This window comes from Homo sapiens, chromosome 10, assembly GCF_000001405.40.
Source record: "Homo sapiens chromosome 10, GRCh38.p14 Primary Assembly".
Classification (NCBI taxonomy): Eukaryota; Metazoa; Chordata; class Mammalia; order Primates; family Hominidae; genus Homo; species Homo sapiens.
This window is the reverse complement of record NC_000010.11, coordinates 36943863-36961924: the sequence shown is the minus strand read 5'-3', so window position 1 is coordinate 36961924 and position 18062 is coordinate 36943863. Positions and strand designations below refer to the sequence as shown.

Genomic DNA, 18062 nt, shown 5'->3' with positions numbered 1-18062 from the left:
CTTCTCCTCTAGGACACAGCACAATGAAAGAAGTAGTATTGAAATCAACTGGAAATAATATTTAAATAAAAATATGTTCTGGTTTGCAGCTGTAATATTCTCAAGAATTCTCATCCTCTATGTAAAATAGATAAGAAAACGATAAAAGTAGAATATCGGAATAGCCAAATACAACCTTTTCCAATGCACTCCGAACCTGCCCCCTTCTTATTCCTTATACTACCTATCCAGTGAGTAAGAACACGAGTTGCTTAAACTAGAAATCTAAGAGGCATTTGACTTCTGAGCCTTCTTCATCAATGAGATTGTTAGTTGACAAATTCTTCTATTTTACTCCAGAAATATCTCTGTATTTCATCTCCCTTCCTAAGTCCACACTGCTCCTTCCTCAGTTGAGCAAGTCAGCATGCTTACTTACCAGCTTGGCCTTCCTCCTTCTAATCGTAACTCCTCCAATTCATTTGTTTCAACTGTAAATGCTTTTCAAGATCTAATTGTGTTTTTGCCTGCAGTGATGAATTCTTGTTGAATAGTGGATAAATTTTAAAATAAAATAAAATGCAAACTTTTAACCTATCATTTTCAATCCTTAAAGATCTGGTCTATGTATGCGGTCCTGTTTTCCACCACCCCTCTCTACATTCCATGTACCATATTCCAGTTACAACTGATTTCTCTGAACCCACTGCATGCCCTCACCTGCCCTTCACCTCTGTCTTTACACTTTATTTCCTGACTGACCAGTCTCAAGTAGCATTTCAGACATTATCACATCACTCTATTTCCTTCATCTCACGTATCTCTAACTGATGTTTTCTTATTTGTTTGACTTATCCCCTTCTGCCATAGTATAAACCCCATAAAAGCCAGATCTTGTCTTGTTCAGTCATTTAATCCTAGTGTACTATTATGAAATATATATTTGACTTTCATCCCCCATTTCCTGGCATACAGCTCCTAAAACCCTTGGAATCTCCTGAATGGTGAGTGTCCTTTATATGCTAATGAGATGACTTTTGGCTGGCAGTCTCTAGACAGCCTCAAGACAGGGGCTGGTAACCAGAAATACCAAGGCATGATTAGAGAGTTGGGTTGTTCAACCCAAACCCCCACCTTCCAGGAGCAGAGAGGGCCTGAAGGTTGAGTTAGATCGCCAGTGGCCCATAATTTAAGTAATCTCGTCTATGTAAGGAAGCCTCCATAAAAACATACCAGGACAGAGCTTCTGGATTTCTGAACCTGTAGAGGTGCCTGGATTGTGGCATGCCCAGAGAGGGTATGAAAGTTCCTTGTCCCTTCCCACATGCCTTACTCTATGCATCTCTTCTATCTGGCAGTTCATCTGCATCCTTGGTAACATTCTTTATAACAAGTGGGTAAACATAAGTGTTTTCCTGAGTTCTGGGGCCTCTCTAGCAAATTAATTGAATTATGGGAACCCTCGATTTATAGCAGTTGGTCAAAGTATAGGTGACAACCAACTATTTGCAATTGGCATCTGAAGTGGGTTTCAGTCTTATGAGACTGAGCCTTCAACCTGTGAGATCTGGTACTAGCTCAGGTAGACAGTGTCAGAATCGAATTAAATTAGAGGACATCCAGTTAGTATCTGCTGGAAAATTGCTCAGCGTGCGGGAAACACAGACACACACACATGAGTGAAAGTAAAAAAAAAAAAAATTTTGTGTCCTGTTTTTAGGCCAGCTGTCTACAAAATTACTGAAAAATTAAATGCTTTGAATTGTGTGTGTAATAAACGAATGAAGAACAGCCCCTCGGGCTAACTACCTTTTTTTCCTCATATTGGTCAACTAATATCCATCTTTTACTTCTCACTGTAATTGACTATAGAAGGGTGTGACAGAGATTACTGTTGCTCACCAATATTCATATCCTTTTTTTCTTGGACATATAGCTAGACTAATATTTCCCAGCCTCCCTTATGGTTAGAATGCTCATGTGACAATATGTAACTGGAGAACAATCATGAGGATCTGTGTAGGGTGGATTCATAAGATAAAAGAAGTCTGGGCCTCTGAATGACTAAAGCCTCTATTCCCTATCCAGCACTCATGTTAGACTGTGATTTGAGTGAGAAACTTTTATTTCATTAAGTTGTTGAGGTTGAGGAGTTATTTGTAATAGCAGTTAGCCTATCCTGACTAACACAAATAGTTTAGTGAAAGCACATGACACCCCTTACCCATCGCCCACCAAGCTATGAGCTCCTAAGGGCAAGGGTCATGGCTGTTTCAATTTTGCATCCTCAGTTTCTAGTATAATCCCTGATACATATGGTGTGCCATGAATTAATGATTAATTTCAATGATACACTTTTCCAAATTCTCTCTAAGGTATCATTTACTCTCAAATGACACCAAATATCCTCTATCTGCTAAACAGTTTTTTCTTAACCAAACTGAAATAAAAAGGAGATTTCTAGTATCTGTGTGATGTAATGGAAAAAATCCATAGCGTGGAGACCAGATAGTCCACTCTCAAAGGCTGGCTATAGGACTTTATCTGTCATCTTGAGCAATTAATTTTACCTCTGTGAATCTCAATTTCTTCCTCTGTAAATGGGGATAGTAATTATTATGAAGACTAGAAACAACATACGTAAATCATATACAAGTGCCTGACAAGCATGCTTATCACAAATGGTATGGATAAATTAATATTTTCATAATTACAAGGCAAACGTCTATATTTCTCCACAGAAATTGTGGAACAAAGTATGGCAGCCTTCTTTGGTAGAATACTTGAGAAGGTAGTTAGTACTGATAACATTTCTTGCGTGGGAGGGAAGCTGCACCAATTTTGAGGTTTTGGCCATGGTCTAATGCTTGTGGGGACTTGGGTGACATATGCCTTGATTGAAGGAACCTGACAGTGCTCGAAAACATCGCAGACACCCAAGGGCTTCGCCAAGAACTGAGACCATTTGCAAGCAGCAGAGATTGACCGAGCTACTGAGAATATAACAGACAGCAAACCAGAGACTTGAGAATCATAAGAACTGAGAAGTAACAGCAGCAATTCCCCAGTCATTCTTTAAAATTCTCTGGTATTGCATTTGTTATTTGTAAGTGGATATTTTGCAGGCAACTAACAGCAAATCCAGCCCATGGTGGTAAACAGCAAATCCAGCCCATGGTGGTAAGATTTTTAAGCTAGAGCTTTCTGTAGAGAGACTTATTTAGAGCAAGACTTTGAATCATTTAAAAGCAAACCAGGCAAATCCTCATGTATTTTCCCCCATTAAATTACCTCGTTTCTAAAGGGAAGATCGGATGATACTCCACAGCTAATATTGACTTACTGAAGATGGTATCAAATCCTCTGCCTTTTCTCATAATGATATGAGAAGATAAAGACATGCTCCGCTACTGAGTCTTCAAAGGAAGCAGAAAAAGTATAATACATAATTTTAACTCAAGGTAGGAAATCAGAAGCTGACCTAGAATTGACTGCAGTGTACTACTATAATCTATGTCCTAGCCCTCAGGAAAGTATGAAGATTGCTTCCTACCTGGAGTGTGAGCCCTTAAATTTTAAGACAGGCCCAGAAAAATTCTGGACGAAGAAATGACTGTAACAATGGTATTAATCGCTTGATCATCACTTGCTTATGGTAAATAACTTCCCAGTTTAAAAAGCACTTGCACAGACATTATTTACTTTAATCTTCTCAGAGGAACACTGCTGGACATCATGGGAATTCCACACAATGAGTGTCACATCCATCAGAAAACTGAGGGTATGAAGTCTAAAGAAATAGAAGATGGTGGTGAACAGGGACCACCTCTCTGCCTCATTTGTTTTCTGCCTAGGAGGTACCTTCATAATTGCATGTGTGAAATCCAGAGTCAAGAGAGATAAAGGGACATACTTCTAAGTCCCAGACAATGTCTGGTCTTTTGTGGATCTGAACTAAGTGAGAGGACTTGGATTTGGGAAGAGTACACTTAATTTGACACTCCTAGAATCTTAGGTTTTTAGATTCTGGGAAATACAACTTAGTATAGTATTAGTTTCATTTTATTATTAAGAAAACAGAAAACAAAGAAATTTAAAACTTGATTAAGAATTAAAAAGAAAAAGTTACAAAGGAGGCCTAAGTGATCTAATCAGGAGACCTGTAACACCTTGTTCCACAAGACAATCTTGTTAATCTTGGGAGACAGGGGTAGTATAAGTGTAACCAGTCCTTACCTTTCATAGCACAATTTAATAAAAATGTCTAAAATTTGGAACTGAAGAATTAACAGTATACTTATTTTGCATGGTGATGTGGAATTAATGACAACAAGAAGTAATAAGAGAAATTATTAATAGAGTTAAAGTGGTTCCTTCTAAGCAGTAGGACTGGGTATGGGGAGACCATTTTTAAAAATTATTTAAAATTTAAAAACTAAAAAAAATGAATTATAAAAATATAAAGTTAAATCCTAATGTATTAGAAAGAGCCTTGGGTGTGGTATCCTGTGCTTATCAAAATGACTTCAGGAACATAATGTATGCTCTCCAAAATTCACATTTAAAAATCTGTATAACATACTGAATATTTTTATCTGTATAATAGTTGTACCATTTTATTACCTTTTCTATTTCATAGGGTCGAACTTTACTGTAAAAATTTATACAGGGAACATGGACAATTTCTTTTGGCATTATAAGGCACTTGAGATATAATCATAGCCCTACTAATATACTTACCATGATTATTAGATCATGTAGTACAATATACAAGATAAATGTCTGCATCTATTGTATTAGCTAGAATTGAAAGGCATCTTGTCTGTCGACCTCAAACAGGCACTGGAATAGAAGGATAATATATTGCTGTGTCAGGTTACCCTGGCAATTGTGATCTATAGTTTTTCTACTGCTCTGAGGAGCAAAAGATACACATATTTCATCGTCTTTTTACCATAAGAACTTGTGATGAAAACTATGCCCTAAGCATATGGGTTAATGTGGGGAAAATCACATCCACATATAGCACCTTTGAATTTATATCCTAACATTAAAATATTGGCTGTGTGACCCTGTATAGAAGACTTGGGTGGAAAGAGGTGATCCATTTCTAGCAGAATGTCTATGTGACTTTAAAGAATAACAGCTTGACCTTTAGTGACATGCACAGTCTTCACATGAATATGCACAATATTCACTTCAGTTAAAAATAAAAATTTGTACATTTATAGGTAAAAGATTTCATCACGCTAATGGTCCTCAGGGAAGCCATGAGACTACTAAAACCTTTTTTCGTTCTTTTTTCTGTTTCAGGGTAACTGCTAAAAGAGATATTACTAGGGATAGGGACCTTACATGTTAAAATTTCTAACATTGTCTTTGCCATAAATTGGCATCCCTTATGTGGTAAGTTGGGGTTACAAGGAACTTGAACACATACACTAAATGTACTGCTGGGCCCATGTTCTTTCCTACATTTCTGCCTCTAGTTTGCTCACCTCCCACCCATTTTCAACTGAATTGGCAGAGTCCATCTTAAATAAATATCTGACCCTGTCTCTCTACTACTTCAATGTGTTAGCTGGAGTCATGCAGCTCTCAGGATGAATGTATAATCCTCAGCAAGTTACACAATATCTGCGACGACCCAGCTTTTCTCTAACTGTCCAGACCAACATCTTCTCATAACTACTTTTAATGTGCCAGACACTATGCTAAGCTCTTTATGTTGCTCTCTTCTCAACTACTACTTGTCCTTGAAGATAACTTAGATGTTACCCGAACTTCTCTCCTGCAACCTCACATGTTCTGGATCAGGTTTTCTTCCTCTAAGCTTTGATGGGACCTTGTACTTTTATCTATGATGGCATTTCCACATTGGCCAGAAATCGTCTGTGTTCCAGTGTGGGAAACCTGCCTTTTTTCCAGGAGAGTTAATGTGACATAAAGTAGGAATATTGACTCTGGAACTAGTCCAACTAGGTTCAAATCATGACTCCACATTTTGCCCTCTAAGAGGCCTTGTGCACGTTGCTCAACTTTTCTGTGCCTCAGTGTCCTTACCTGTAAAATAAGAATTGATTAAGTACCTACCTAAGTAGTGCAATTACTACTTAGTTGTGTTAATTTATGTTAAATAATTACAAAGACATCTGGGCACATACAAGTTTCTCACTGTGAGTTGGGCTAACCAATTTGACTGCCTATGATGGGGAAGCCTGATTGACCAGTATAAATTAATTCATTGAGATCTTATTTTCTTCACTGATAACAAAAAATGAGGGTAATGGATTCTAAAAGAGTTGTCAATATTTCTGCTTAAGGAATAAATGGACTTCACAGTACCTCATCTAGACCTGTCACAGCACTTACTACTTTCCACCTCATAGTTTTCTAGTGTTCCTGTTTTGCACCTTCCTAGTGCAAGTTCAGCTCACATCTTCATTTGCATCTTACCTTTCTTAGTAATTAATAGATGCCTGCTGTATAGCAGAAACTGAAGTATTTGCTAAATGAAAACACATAAACAAATCTGCAAGGAATCAAAAGCAGCAGCAAGTCTGATACTATACAAGGGTTAACTGGATTTGTTCTCCTTCAAATTGGGTTCTGTGACCATGAACCACTGTTAATATCTTCAGAAATAAGAAACCTTGTAATTGTAAAGTATAATTTCATAAACTTCTATTATAATTCTAGATACTATAAAAATCAAAATATATTCCCACTCTCTAAAATCTTAATTTAACAGAACAGTTAAGCACTCAGCGAGTATTTATAGACTTCATTGCCTTATGGTAGAGATTTGGTGATAAATATTCAGAATTAGACATTTGCTCTCAAGGAATTTACAAGTGTGTAATGTCATTCTTCTCCCTTAACCACACTTTAAATATATTTTTATGATCCATCAAAAGTTCCCTGTTCTAATATCAAATGATACATTCTGCTTGTCTGTATACAATATATTTTGTGCAATTCATCTCACAGAGAAGAGCTTACTTTTTAATTAAATTTTTGCAGTTTACTAAATATCAGAAACCTTATATTTAATCAGATATTTTAAAAGCATGTACTGACAAGCTTGTACATAAAATTAAAAAAATTAAACCAACGAAAATGTCGTTATATCTAATATGTTCTTACTTCATTTAGCAAATCAGAGAACTCATTGCTTGAAATAAAAGTTTATTCCTCTTTTAATTATAATGACCATTGATTTATGTAAGTTAGTGTTTAACCCTGTGACGCTCTTCTAGAGATCACTTAGACTCAGCCAGAACCCTGTTAAGTCCCTATTTCTAAGTGCAAGCCCTCTCTCTTCCTCTCAACTATGCTTTTCAGATACTTGCTTTCCTTACTCTTCCACAAATGACTTTGAAAAATAAAAGCCAAAATGGCAATATAATTTTATACTCAAGCCTCTAGACTCCTCAATGCCTTTACCAATACTCTTTCATCTCCTGCAAACAACTTCCTGGTTTGCTCCCTGGAAAACAAATTCTACTCACTTTTAAGATACAGTTCTAAAGGTCCATTCTGGAGAATGTCTCTAATGTCGCTACACCAAGGTCAAGTTACTTACTCCTCTGGACTTTGTATAATCCAACATAATTATGACATTCCAAGTATTGGCCCAAGCTTCTCATGGATTATCTTATCTGCACAGCAGTCCTGTGAATAATCCTTACTGTTTATAGTTCTTATTTTATGGTGAAATAAAAGGTAGCTAAGAAAGGTTAGTTAATGTGCTTGAATTTACTACGTGGAGGAGCTATGATTCAAATCTTGGTCTTCAGGACTGCAAACCCTGAGTTCATAGACACCAAGTTACACGACATGTTGTTAAAGCAAACTAACTCGTTTTCCTAGAATTATTTATCACATGGTCATTCTGTATCTAGGTAGTGAGTTCCTTGTAGAAATTAACCTATCATTGTATTCTTAGTGCCTGGAACCTAATAGGAGTTTAATAAGTATTTGATGGATGGGTTGATGGGTTGGTGAATAGAGTGAGATGACTGAATGAATGAACAAAATAAACAAAAAAACCTAATACCTGTAGATTGACTTGTGATCTATCATGGAGATAAGATTGAATGCTTATGTTGGCTTCACCATCCTCTGCCCTGCCTTGTTCAACCTTTGCTACCACTCAGGAATACAAATATATTCTGATTGCTTTTCACCCACTGTTATTAATATACCAATTTTCATCACTGGGAGTGCTTATATAATGCATCACTGACATCTGAGTAGTACTTTAATTTCTCATATATTATTCCAGATAATGCATGTGACATTGTGATGTTTGTATTTCCTAAAAAGTAGGTTTACTTCCCACAGAGTAGGAACCCAATAACTGTTAAATTAATTAATGAATCAATAAAAAATGAATGCATGAAGGACTTGGTCTTTCAATTAATCAACTAATCAATGCTGAAGTATAAAAACTGTAGTCATTAACTTACTAGCTTGTGTTTATTTCAGACTATGACTAACAGCATTAATACTTACTGCCCAAATATGACTCTGTGACAGGTACAGTGGTAGGCTTCTATTCACATCAAATTGTAAAATCCTTATAATAGTCCTAGAAGGTATGTGCTTTTAATGCCATCTCAGACATATGCAAACAAAGAATCAGAGAGCTTAATTTTGGTGGATTAAGAAACTATCATCTGTGAAACAGCATAGCTCAGATTCAAACCATGCCATTCTTATTCTTCATTGTCTGCTCTTTCCTTTGTATATGGATTGTAGAATGCCTGTGCAATATGTAAACCACTAATTCCTACTTTCCTAATGACACTGAGGTTTACTGATCAGACATATTACTGGAGTTACCAACCCTCATCTTGAGGAAAACATTTAAAAGTATGGAAAAAGCTGAATCCTCAATTACATATAACTTGCTTTATTAAACTGATTTCAGTTGATTTCTGAAGATCTGTGGTGAAATAGAGCCAAGTGATGCCCCTAAATAACTCAGTGCAATCTATCATCTGCTCCTTGCCTCCCACCTCCTTCTCCATATACAGAAAGATAATCATGTATTTATGTAGGGCCTTTTATAGCTCAACATATTTTTCAGTAGGTGATTCATTTTGGGGAGGCTTTCTTGTGTTTACCAAAGGCATATTCTCCAAAGGTAAAACTGCAGCTGGTATATGTACATTTTCCCCGGACAAACTCTGTACATCTGTTTTATCCCAAATTGAGAACTTACTGGTTTTAGATCCATGCTGGACTCAGGGTTAGAAAGATTGAAAGAAAAAAAAGGGACTTAATGGATTCTGCCTTTAAGGTAATCATTCATATATTTAAAGGAAATGTAATGGTTCTAAATTGTTTGTTTTCTTATGTAAAATATCTAATTCACTATTCATAAGAAAATCTTTTAGATCATTTATAATGTTAGACTATATATAAAATAAAATCTTGCAATGAATCAGTTCCTAAGGTGAGAAATCAGAAATCACTACAAGAAGGAAAATACAGATCCTAAATGTTTATTATATGTTAATTACTGTAAATGAATATTTACATTAGAATGAATTTTTCTGGCAGTGAAGTTAAAGAAGAAAGACCCATGGTGGCTCATAGCCTTCACTGATAAAAGAAAACAAGATGATCATCAGAAGAGGCAGTTTCTTCCTGTGTCCCACACTAGGAGAATTTCACCTTGGGCAGAGCCAAAAATGAAATGAAGGAGCATGGCCTCTGGATTATACAGTCCTGGATAGGGCCTTTTCCATGCATAAACTTGGATAGATTATTCTACCATTCTGAGGTTTACCTCAGTAAAATTAGTTTAACAACTAATTCAAAAGAACATATGTAATGTAATTGAAAGAAAAAATAATAATGCCAACATAATTCTAGATTTACCTACCTTTAGAAACAAAATGTGACCAATACCATTGGAGACCCTGGATGTCTCCTGCAGGTCCCAGCCCCTTCGCTCCTCCCAATCTCAGAAATAGTCAAGCTTCTGAATTTTTAGTGTAGCCATTCCCTTGCTGTGGAGTTTTCCCCTAAACTGTGTATCCTAAGGAAGATATGGTTTAAGTGTTCGTGTTTATGAAATTTACATGTATATAATCATACAAAATACGTTTTTCTACAAATTTCTTTTTACACTCAATTTTGAGTTTGAGATTTATCCCGTTAGTTACATTTAACTGTAGTTCAGTAATTTTCACGATTGCTTAGCATTCTGTGTATAACTACAATAAGACAATTTACTTCAACATTTGACTGTAATAATCATTTGGGTTTTTTCTCCAGTATTGTTTTGTTTTGCTATTTAAAACAAATGCTTCTATGAACATTCTTGTCTATGTCTCCTGGTGCACATGTATGAAAGCATCTACAGGGGTACATTCTTAGGAGCACTATTGCTGGGTCAAAAGTATATAAATCCCATCCCTGCCAATCAGGTCTGATGGACAACATGACAGGTACTCATATTGGATTAATCACAGTGAAGCACTCATAAAAAATTATCCCTGCAGGCATCCACAATTTTTTACTTTTCTAGATAATACCAAAATGTTTTCCAGAATGTTAATGCCAATTTATATTTTTACCAGCAGTCCCTACTGCTCCACATTCTAGACAACAGTTGGATGTTTTAATTTCTTTAAATCTGATGGATAAAATGTTACTTCATTGTCATTGTAATTTGAATTTACCTTATTTCTAATGAAGCTGAGCATTTTTATATGCTTATTGACTACTCATTTCTTAACTTAATCTCTAAAGCTCAAACAGTAAAATATTTCATACATGCTTGTTAAAAAAATGAAAATAAATATGAACCTAAAGTACCCAGGACAAGTCCTGATATAGAACCAGTATTTAATACTTATCAAAACTTACCATTAGTCCCCATTCTCCTTACAATTGAAAACTATTTGATAAAATGAGGAAGAACATCTACATCTAATGCTTTTTAACATAAAAGCACCAAAATATTTTCCAAATAAATGCTTCTTGAGTGCACCTATAGTATACACACATATACACACACCAAAACCCGTTTACCCAATATTTAAAGTCATTTTTGTAAGAAGCTAAAGTTAAATTTTTCTATTATATTCACGTTTTGCAATCCAATTTTACACAGGGAAAGAGCTTAAAAGTAAACAAGAATTTGACAAATGAAGAAAGTATTCCAAAAAGAAATGTCACTAACTCTAGGGGTTTTGTTTATTTTTTTTTTTTTTAACATTTTTAGTGGGGGGAGAGGCTCTGCGTCCAAATCACAATGGAGATACACTTTAAATGAGAGTAAGTGTAGTGAAGTCCAATTTTATGTAACTTTTAAAGTAAAAAATATTTATGGTAGCAGTAAACCGATAAGCTTTAGTTAAAAAATAATACTAATGCTGTACAACTTTCTAGATTCTGTGAGTCTAGCAAATACTTTTTCCTTTTCTTTCTTTTTTTTTTTTTTTTTATTGAGACGGAGTCTTGCTCTGTCACCCATGTTGGAGTGCAGTGGCGCAATCTCCAATCTCAGCTCACTGCAACTTCCGCTTCTCGTGTGCAAGCGATTCTCCTGCCTCAGCCTCCTGAGTAGCTGGGACTACAGGTGCATGCTACCATGCCCGGTGGCCTTTTGGTAGAGACGGGATTTCACCGTGTTAGCCAGGATGGCCTCAATCTCCTAACCTCATGATCTGCCCGACTCAGCCTCCCAAAGTGCTAGGATTACAGGCGTGAGCCACTGTGCTCGGCCTAGCAAGTACTTTTTATAACGGTTAATACACAAAACAATCTCCCAGGAAATCATCAGGAACTCTTTTTATCAGTTCCCCAAATTTTGGAGAAATTCCAAGTGCAATTTAGCCACTTAGAGTGATATAAAACTAAATCTTAAAAGGGCAGGTGGGGCTGCGGTCTACAGAGTAGCCACTCTTTTATTCCTTTACTTTCTTAATAAAATACTTCCACTTTGAAAAAAAAAAAAGTGTAGATGGGCCAGGCCCAGTGGCTCATGACTGTAATCCTAGCAATTTGGGAGGCCGAGGTGGGTGGATCACCTGAGGTCAGGAGTTCGAGACTAGCCTGGTCAACATGGCGAAACCCCATCTCTACTAAAAATACAAAAATTAGCCAGGCATGGTGGTGGGCACCTGCAATCCCAGCTACTCGGGAGGCTGAGGCAGGAGAATTGCTTGAACCCAGGGGGCGGAGGTTGCAGTGAGCCGAGATCGTGCCACTTCACTCCAGCCTGGGTGAAAGAGCAAAACTCTGTCTCTCAAAAAAAAAAAAAAAAGTGCAGATGATATTACCTTCTTTGAACAATTATTTTTAAGATTAGGGAGCAAATATATAAACTGGCTAAAGAACAGTAGACACTCAATAATAATTTATCCAGTAATGCTTTATTTATTCACGAAATATTTATAAAGGGCCTGATGTTGCATACTGTGCTAGGCACTGAAATATATGTATTCCAAAAGAAAAAAATAATAAAACCAACTATAGCAGAAGCCACTCATACTACTGATATATATGTCTATATATCAGCTTCCACACAAATCTTTTCAACAGATGCTGATTTGAATATTGGCATAATGCTCTAATTATCATAAAATATACATTAACAGAATAAAACTTTCTTTTACCTTTTCTTTCACTAACTATATATTTCAGACTGGCGAGTCTTTTTTGTGGAGGCTGTCCTGTGCATCATTTCATATTTGGCCCCACTCTTGGCTTCCATTGCTAAATTACTCAGTGCAAATGGCACCTCCACCCCACCCTGTGTTGTGATCGCAAGAATTTACCAGACATTGCCAAATGTGCCCTGGGGGGGCAAAATCACACCCAGTTAAGAGTCACTGGGCTAGAGTAAATAGTAGAGCTGAAAGAGCAGTAGATGGAGAAAGAAGACCTAGGATTGAAACTGGCTTTGTCCACTATTTCTGCATTCATTTAACTAGGGATAGAATTTAGAAACCAGAGCATGTAGCAGTAAACCCAAGCTACTGGGATTTTTCAGAAATTTTAGAAGTTCCATTATGCCCATAAAACAAGATATAAGCTTTCAAGCACCAGAGTAAAAGTAACTTCAAATGAGTAACAACCCCAAATTCCCAGCTTTAACATCTATAGAACTTATGGTCCAGTAACATAAATACCAGATATTTTATGTTGGTGTAGTCTCTGTGTCATTTGCTAAAACACAGTTTCCTCATCTGTAAAAGGAGGGGTGATTTCTCAGTTCCCAAGTTGGTGTTGAATACCCAGCTAAGGATTTCTATGAGTACACATATTTACTTCTTTGTCATCCTTCACCATATATTGCTATAATTAATGATTTGTTTGTATTTCCCTGTAGAGTATAAGCAGAGACAATGTCTTATTAATCCTTGTATCACAAGTTCCTAGCCCAGTTTTGACATGTCATAAACATTCATCAAGTGAATTATTTTATGAATCTCCGTTTTCAAGTTTATTGATTCAGCTTCCCCTCTTTCTCTCTTTCTTTCTTGCTTGGACATTTCCTTTCATTTTACTATCAATATTACCAGAATCCATAATGACAGACAGGTTATATAAACAGCCACAATTTCTTATGATTTTAAGGGCTCCTGCACTTAACCTAGACATTTCTACAGATGCCCACCAGTAAATGGAATTCACAGAGCAGGAGACAGGGACTTTCATCTGAATATTAGGAAGCTTATTTAAAATACAAATATCTCTGAGAATGGAAACTCTCAGTTTGCTCATTCAAAAATTGTACTCAATTATTCCTACTTCATAGAATTGCTGTGCCAATAAAATGAGTCCTTTCTAAACTAAAATCTCTATGAAAATGGAAGAGATTTATTTTGTTTTGGTTTATAATTAAGTGGAAATGACTGATATCATGTATTTTCTCAATAATCAAACTGGCCTAGGAAATCATAGAATCTGCTTCAGGCCACTTACTGAGAAAAAACACCCCCTGAAGAACATTCCTGATTGATGGTCATTTAAGTACTATTATCAACAATTCTTATGTCAGCTTCAAGAAAAATCCAAGCCCATGAGTACAGCAGCAGGAAGAAACTACGGATATCCCAAGACCAACTCTGACCTTTGTTATCTTCGTAGTAATATAAAAATGTAGAAGGATTAAAGCTTCTCAATGAAGCTTCTAAGTGAGATGATCTTAAAACAGACACAGAAAACTAGGAGAGAGCTAGAGACTAGAAATCAGAGGAATTAGTTTGGAAACCTAGCGCTACCACTTACTAGCTATGCAATTCTGAACACATGGTACAACTCTCTGAATCTCACTTTCCTCAAATGTAAAATGGGCATAATAAAAAATACCTTAAAGAGATGGGGTGAAGCTAATATAAATGAAAATTCAAAGTGACTAGAATGTTAAGAGAAATGCCATCACAGAAAATAAATGGATCAAGGAATTTCTTAGTTTATTTGGGCAACTATAACAAAATACCTTAGACTGGGTGCCTTATAAACAATAGAAGTTTATTTCTCATGATTCCGGAGGCTGGGAAGTTCAAGATCAGAGTGCCAGCATAGTTCAATTCTGGTGAGGACCTTCTTTGTAGACTACTGACTTCTTTCTGGGTCCTCACATAGGAAAAGGGGCACAGGAACTTCTCTGGGCCTTTTTTGTAAAGCTACTCAACCCATTCATGAGAGTTCTGCCCTCATGATCTAATCACATCCCTAAATGTCCCACCTCCTAATATGATTTTGGGGGTTAGGATTTTAACATATAAATTTGTGTGGTGGGGGGGGGGACACAAATATTCAGACTATAGCAAAGCGTAAATATTTGAAAATATTTTAACTTAAGGTGGCTTATTTGATCTGTTGGCTTCTTTTGAGAATTTTTTCTTCAGGATGAAAAGAACACTGCAAGATTGACTCAATTTCTATACTTCTGTTTAAGAGAGAGGAGGAGAGCAGAAGAAAGGAGGGGAGAAGAAAGAAAAATTACAGGCTGGTGTAGCTGTAACTGGCTTAGCAAACAGTCTGGGGAAGGAAGAGCTTCTTTTTGTGAGGAAAGAAAAAAAATGTTTCCTAAAAATAGTTTTACCTATCTTGAGATAAATACAACGCTCAAGAATTAGAAGTTTTAAGAGGTACATACAGCCACACACATCCTCCAGAGTATGAGTCAGCTCTAACTCACCCCATCTCTCTCCTAGTTTGTCCTAGTTAATTACAAACTTTCTCATCCTAGCAAAATCATTAAGAGTCAGACACAGAGGACAGAGCATTGAAAATTAATTCCATTAATTTCATTTAGAAAAGTAGGATATTTGTGGAAGAGCGTCTCTGTCTTTCAAATCTCTAAAGCAAACAGGTTGATGGTTTTTAGTTACTAAATCAAATGTATGAATGATCTAAGAGATAGTATGCTCCAAGGAAATAGGGATTTATAGTCTCAGCTCTAACACTAAAAAAAAAAAAAAAGTGACTAGGGATACCATTTTAGCCTTCTAGAGTGGGTTGAATACTATACCCAGATATTTATGTCTACTCAGAACCTAAAAATGTGAACTTTTTGGGAAATAAGCTTTGTTAATATATTAGTTAAGGATCTTGACATTAAGTCACTCTTGATTTAGAGTGGGCCCTAAATCCAATGACTAGTGTTTTTATTAGAAGAGGATAGGACACAGAGAGACACGGAGAGGAGAAGGTCATGTGAAGACAGAGGTAGACATTGAAGTGATGTACCTAGAAGTCAAGGAACGCCAGGTATTGCTGGCAATCACCAGAAGCTAGGAGAGAGGCATGGGGCATTTCTCTCTCAGAGGCTCCATAAGGAACAACTCCTGCCAATAACTTGATTTCAGGCTTCTGGCCTCCTGAATGGTGAACAGATGCATTTCTGTTGTTTTAGACAACTAAGTTTGTTCTCTTTTGGTATGGCAGCTGTGGAGGAAACTAATATACTTTTCCTGTCCTTTGTCTAATTTGTGATACACTGGAATCGAGTTATATATTTATCTACTCTTGGTTCAGTAATTACACTGTATTTGGGCTGGGATAACAATAATAGAAAGACATAGACTTGCCATCAAAGAGTTTACATAGAAGTTGGGAACTGAGACATTAATTAGAAAATAAAAAACAGCCCTAAAGGGGTTATCATAGTAGTCAGTAGAAGGTATTGGGGAAAATGGGGTAACATGGAGGTGGGTAGAGATGGAGTCCTGGGGAAGACAAGGAAAGCCTTCAAAGAGAGGGACCACTGGGATGAGCACTGGGATAGGGGAGGGGGTGTCAGCCTGGTGGACAAGAGCCTTATCTAGTGAGGGCTTTATGCAGTTTCATGTTTCACAAGAATTAAGTAGTAGGAATGGGAAAGTAAGGAGACAAGAATAGAAAGGTAGACAAGGTCAATCATGAGTGAAGTACTGAAAAGCATACAATTTTACTGAAATAATGTTGTTATTGATTGAATGTTTGTGTTCCCCCAAAATTCATATCTTGAAACCCTAGCCCCCAAGGTGATGGTGTTTGGAGATAAGGCCTTTGAGAGGTAATTAGATCATGAGAGTGGAGCCCTCATAAATGGGAGTAGTGCCTTTTTAAGACAACACAAGGAAGCTTACATTCTCTCTTGTTTTTTGCTTTCCACCACGTGAGAATACAAGAAGAAGATGGCCAGCTGCAAGGTAGGAAGGGGGAGCCCTCATTAGACACCAGATATGCTGGTACTTTTATCTTGGACTTCTCAGCCTCCATTTTGACAAAAAAAAATACATATATGTAAATAATAAATCTCTGTTGTTCACACCACCTGGAATATGGTATTTTTGTTTTGGCAACCCAAGCAGACTAAGACAGGAATGTACTTCAATTTACTCATCTGTAAAATGTGTGGAGTGGACAAAGTCATAATTTTACCTCCAATTTCAAGGTTCTGAAGATCTAGGAAGGTTAAAGTTCTTGAAAGTTGTTGTAATTTTGGCTCTGACACCAGGATAACTAAGCGTCAGATCTGTTCAATCAGAAATAACTATTACATGAGTAATATCAGAAAAGTGTACATCGTTAAGTGGCTGATTAACTAAAATGCATTTCCGTAAAGTTCTGTACCAAAATGTTACTGTAAGGAAACCAACACCTCCATTCTATCCCTACACCTGAGTTTGTGTCTTAGTGAAAGATACACAGATCTTTGGCAATGCATCATCTAACTAAGAAGTGGTTTTGATTTTTGTTTAGGGATATACAATAGGTTTCAGTCCCATTCTGACATAACAGTATTAGAATACTGAACATGTAGTCAATACATGGCCCCTGAGGTGGTGGTAGTCTTCGTGGACCAGGCCACGTTCTACGATAAGCATTGTGACCTGGAGAGCCTGGGCATGGTCCTCTACATCATGCTGAGTGGCTACCTGCCCTTCGTGGGTCACTGCGGGGCCAACTGTGGCTGGGACCGGGGTGAGGTCTGCAGGGTGTGCCAGAAAAAGCTGTTTGAAAGCATCCAGGAAGGCAAGTATGAATTTCCTGACAAAGACTGGGCACACATCTCCAGTGAGGCCAAATGCCTCATCTCCAAGCTCCAAGCTCCTGGGGCGAGATGCGAAGCAGAAACTTAGCGCCGCCCAAGTTCTGCAGCACCCACGGGTGCAGGGGCAAGCTCCAGAAAAGGGACTCCCCACTCCGCAAGTCCTCTAGAGGAAGAGCAGCACAATGGACCTGACACTCTTCGCAGCTGAGGCCATCGCCCTTAACTGCCAGCTATCTCAGCACGAAGAGAACGAACTAGCAGAGGAGCCAGAGGCACTGGCTGATGGCCTCTGCTCCATGAAGCTTTCCCTTCCCTGCAAGTCACCCTGGCCCGGAGGACAGGAGCCCAACCACAGCACTCTGAAATGCTCCAGTCACACCTTATAGGCCCTAGGCCTGGCCAGGCATTGTCCCCCTGGAAACCTGTGTGGCTAAGGTCTGCAGAGCAGGCAGCAGCGTCTGCTCTATGGCTCCATTCAGGCTTTTTCATCTACGAAGGCCCTGAAGTTCCCACCAACCCCCCATTTCCCTAGGGTCCTCGAGGAAAAAGCTTTTTCCAAAGGGGTTGTCTT

At 37.5% G+C, this 18062-nt stretch overlaps 1 pseudogene; it reads left to right on the top strand.

The window, feature by feature from the left end:
- On the top strand, positions 17253-17866 carry MKNK2P1 (MAP kinase interacting serine/threonine kinase 2 pseudogene 1; annotated as a pseudogene).